Here is a 4,663-nt window from a genome sequence, read left to right on the forward strand (position 1 = left end):
GCCGTCTGACCATAGGATTTCAACAAGACATTCACATCAAAACACAGTAGTTCAGCATGTATCAGACTTCTCAGCATCTGGCTTATTCAGTATGGAATAACATCACGAACGGGACACCAAGACTTCAAGCCACGTGGGGTTTAGCCTGGCCAAACCCAGTTCCTTTTCTCCAGATGAAGGTTGGGCTTGTGTGTCTTTCCTATAGTCCTGGAGACTTCTCTACATCTCGTGTAAAGACCTACATGAAAAAGAAGCCATATCACTCTAATGTCAGAGGCATTTGAACCAGAGCAACTCCATCTTGAATAGGAGCTGGGTAAAATGAGGCTGAGACCCACTGGGCTGCATTCCCAGACAGTTAAGACATTCCGAGTCACAGGATGAGATAGGAGGTTGGCACAAGATACAGGTCATAAAGACCTTGCTGATAAAACAGGTTGCAGTAAAGAAGCTGGCTAAAACCCGTGAAAACACAGACGGTCACAAGAGTAACCTCTGGTCATCCTCACTGCTACGCTCCCACCAGTGCCCTGACAGTTTACCAATGCCATGGCAATGTCAGGAAGGTACCCTATATAATCTAAAAGGGGGAGGCACGAATAATTCACCCCTTGTTTAGCGTGTAATCGAGAAATAACCATAAAAATGGGCAACCAGCAGCCTTCGAGGCTGCTCTGTCTGTGGAGTAGCCATTCTTTTATTCCTTTACTTAATAAACTTGTTTTCACTTTACTCTATGAACTCGCCCTGAATTCTTTCTTGCACGAGATCCAAGAACCCTCTCCTGGGGTCTGGATCTGGATCCCTGTCCAGTAACACTAAGATCAACCCATAACTTACTGATCTGGAATTGTGAGTGTGAGGTGGTTTGGAAGGATAATTCATCTGAAGCACTTAGCATCAGAGAGCTCAAGCAACAGTAGATATCAGTTTTTTAAATTACAATACAAATATTCCAGGCAGGGGCTGTTACTGCTTTGGCAGAGACAGACGCATCCAATGCTGAAGGAGGAAGTAGGAAGCCCGCCGTTAGGAGAATGGTCTCTTAGCCAGAAAGGAAGGGACAGGGGAAGGGGAAGAGGCTCTCCCAGGATGGGCAAGAGAAAGATGGAGCACAGCAGCTGCTCAGTTGCTCCTTGAAGGACCCCACCCTGAGAGCCTGAAGGCAGCTGCTGTCAGCCCCCAGGAGGCCTACAGACCAGAGCCCAGAATAGACACCAGGCTGCTTGGGGCAGTCTAATCCCATGGAGGGTTTTAACACTAATGCTGCAGAGCCCATGTGTCTTTCCACCATGCCACTGCCATCCATGCAACAATCAACACAGAAGGAAAGGGTCAAAAGTTGCTTTTGGAGCTTTGCATTTGCACATGGGTGTTTCTAAGACAGATGCTAATTAATGCTTGGGGGGGCTGCCAAAACCTTGTTTCTGAAATATTTTCTAGACCCTTTAAATTCATCAGTATAGACACAATGACGATAAACATTTTTATAGTAGACTTTCACACAAGACAAAGATCAAAGGCATGTGTAATCGATGATAAAAGGAAGTGTTTCGAGTGATAAAAAAGTCATTCTCAAGTATATCTTGGTGTTGATTTTATTTTTAATAGCTCAGCTATGAGACTGTGACTTTGTGCATATACTTAAAACAGAGCTAACATTGGAAGCCTCTAACTTCACAGTTAGAGGGTCTTCATGCCCAAAGCACCTCCAACCATCCAAGCCATGATGGCACTCATTCTGCTGTTCCATCCCTTTTCGGAAGATGTGCAGAAGTCATCCTCAGAGTCCTCGGCACTATGCTTATAATTTGGACTTTGAACACCACGTGATCTCTGGCACCTGGTTATGGGGGTCCAGTATCCACAGCCCCCACTGGGAATTATGGCATTTCTCTTTTGTAGCATACAATACCAAATAATTAGGCTTTTTCTGTGAAAATAAACTGCTTTTAATACATGTATTATTAAACCAATAAAGCATTAATATTTACTAATTACTAATTTAAGCAAAGTAAAACCTATTTCAGAGTAAGGGAAAAGCATGCAGAAACACACATTGTTATGAGCTGTTGATAAACAAGGCTTAATATAATCCTGGTTTTCCTCATTCTATCTTAAAGGGACATTTCAAACTCTTGCTTTCATAAACAAAACTTTGTAATTTGAAAGAGTCCAGGTTTTTATAATGATCACGTTCCTTAAAATTAAACGACAGTTTTCACTTTTCTTAAAGGGAAAAGTGTTCAAAACTTTCTCACAGAGAAAGCATTGATTTTCCTCTGAGTTCCTCCCATGAACTGTCTTGATCGCTGCCAACTCAGTTCCTTCTGTATTCTGTGCATGTGGAATACACTGTTTTCTGCTTAACGAGTTATTTCCAACCCCATCCCCAGCCACACCTCAGTTCCACGAGTGTTCGTGGCTCAATGACCTAGGGACCCCAAGCATTCACCATAAATAAGGCTGTTTACTGACCTATTTTTACTAGGACTACTGAGATATGCTGAACCCTGGCGGGGGTGGGAGTCGGGGGGATTGAAGGTACACTTCTCCCTAGCACCATCAGTCATTGTTCAGATATTTAAATTTCACAAACAGAATCAATGGCCTGCTGGGGGCATTGTCACTTACACCGAGCAGGGCCATCTGTCGCAGCACTGGCATTTTCAGGCATTTTAGATGACAGCATTGCGGGATCTCGTTCTTTGTTCGTGGATTTCAGGATGAAGTCCTTCAATGGGGCTTCATGACTGACCAAGGTTTGAAATTGATAATGTCCCCAGATGGGGACTTGCTGATGCGGCTGCATTCACAGCAATTAGAAGATAATCTGGTGTAAAAACTGTCCGGAGAGCGAGGGGCACAGAATCCCTGAGCTCAGGTTGAGCAGGGGAAGAGAAAGCCAGATCTCCATTCTGGAGGCAGAGTTTTCCACTTTTCCCTAAGGGGTCGTCTCAGCAGCCGGCCTCTCAGCTACAACGTGCGGAAATCTCACTGCCCGATGTGCTAATCACAGAATTGCACAGGTACTCCCTGAATCCAACTTGGGTTATTAAAACAACAATGAGGCTTAGGCATTTGGCTCAGTCCACCCCCAGGGTGACCAGCTGGTCACCTCACTCCGCAACCCAAATCCAGGGGATTCATTCGTTGTCTAGGAATAACTTCTTCCACCTTGGGAATTCTCTGATTTACTCTTACCTAGGTCCACTGGTCTTGACCAAAATGTGAGGTGTCCTTAACTTAAGGTTTTGACTTTTAAGAGGCAGTCGAGGAAATAATATTATGAGGTCTGTCTATTTCTTTAGTGGTCAAAGACAGATAAGTAAAAAGGCAAAGCTAGAGTCCGAATGTATGGCTGCAGGTTCAAGATTCCAGGCCAAGTTCTTGGAACTCCAGCACCTCTAGACTCACCAGCCCCACCAGCCCCTCTGGCCCCTCCAGCCCCACCAGCCCCACCAGCCCCACCAGCCCCTCCAGCCCCTCCAGCTCTGCTGCAGGAAATCCTGCCTCAGGGAATCATGATGCACCACCCAAGGAAGTATTTGCAGAAAAAAGAGATTCCATTATTGCCTTCCCTCAAGGGTGGTGTTGAGCCCATTAAGCTTTTCCCCAGCAGTACACAGAGTAATCTTAGGGATTCTGGTGGGAAAAATATCCCAAATTCTGCTTCCTTATGCTTCACCACATGACCCTAGGGCACACGCACTAATCAAGAACAGCCCAGGGCATCCTGTCACCCCCCACGGTGCACCTGCAAACTGGCTTTTACAGCAACCTTGTCTTCCAAATGGGTCCGTATCTTTCTAGGCATCTTTTGTAATGCTAACCTGTTTGGCATTACCCAGAAATGCTAACATTTCTACCACTTTAACTAATCTTAAGAGATTAAATCACACTCCATGATACTCCTGACAACAAATAGCATTTTAACCAGTAATTTACGATAAGAAGATTTTCAATCAGTGGGCTAAGCCCTTCCCTGGTGATTTAAGAAACTGCCAGCCTCGATGGAGATTCTTCCATCAATTCCTCATCATTATAAAAGAAACAATGGAGGAAAAACTCATCCAATTAAGTGACAATTCCAATGTGTAAATCTTGTAATATTTTTTGCATTTGTGATATGGGTTCTACACTAAAAATGCAACTTGTCTAATCTGAATGAGATGAAAAATCCTGAAAAAGGATGTTATCCTCAATATTTTGTTTGTGCCTCTTGATTTAGTAAACTCCCAACCACTTTTTCATCCTTCCCTGCCAAACCCCGCTACAAAATGTTTCTCATTATGACCTGAGACATTAATTCTGATTGTAGAGGTTTTAGATCATTTCTTCTAGGTGTTAATCAGTTCTGGCCATATGGTGAGGGTGAGGTAATCATTATTACTTTACAATGAATGCCCTTAATTACTTTTTCAGTAGTAATATTAGTCCTTCTGTTTATTTGAGTACCTAAGAGCTGCAGGCAACGTGATCTGAATTACATGGAGGACAAGCTCCAGCTGACTTTCCGTAAACTCGCATTAGGATTCTAATAGGAGACGACAGGAGCAGGTGGGGATAATGAGCTGGCGGAAGGGGCTGCCTATCACACTGCTCGGTGGCCCCTCTTTCACCCCCACTTTGCCTCAGGCATTTTCTACTCAGCTGTGACCTT

This window comes from Homo sapiens, chromosome 7 (assembly GCF_000001405.40).
Source record: "Homo sapiens chromosome 7, GRCh38.p14 Primary Assembly".
Lineage (NCBI taxonomy): Eukaryota > Metazoa > Chordata > Mammalia > Primates > Hominidae > Homo > Homo sapiens.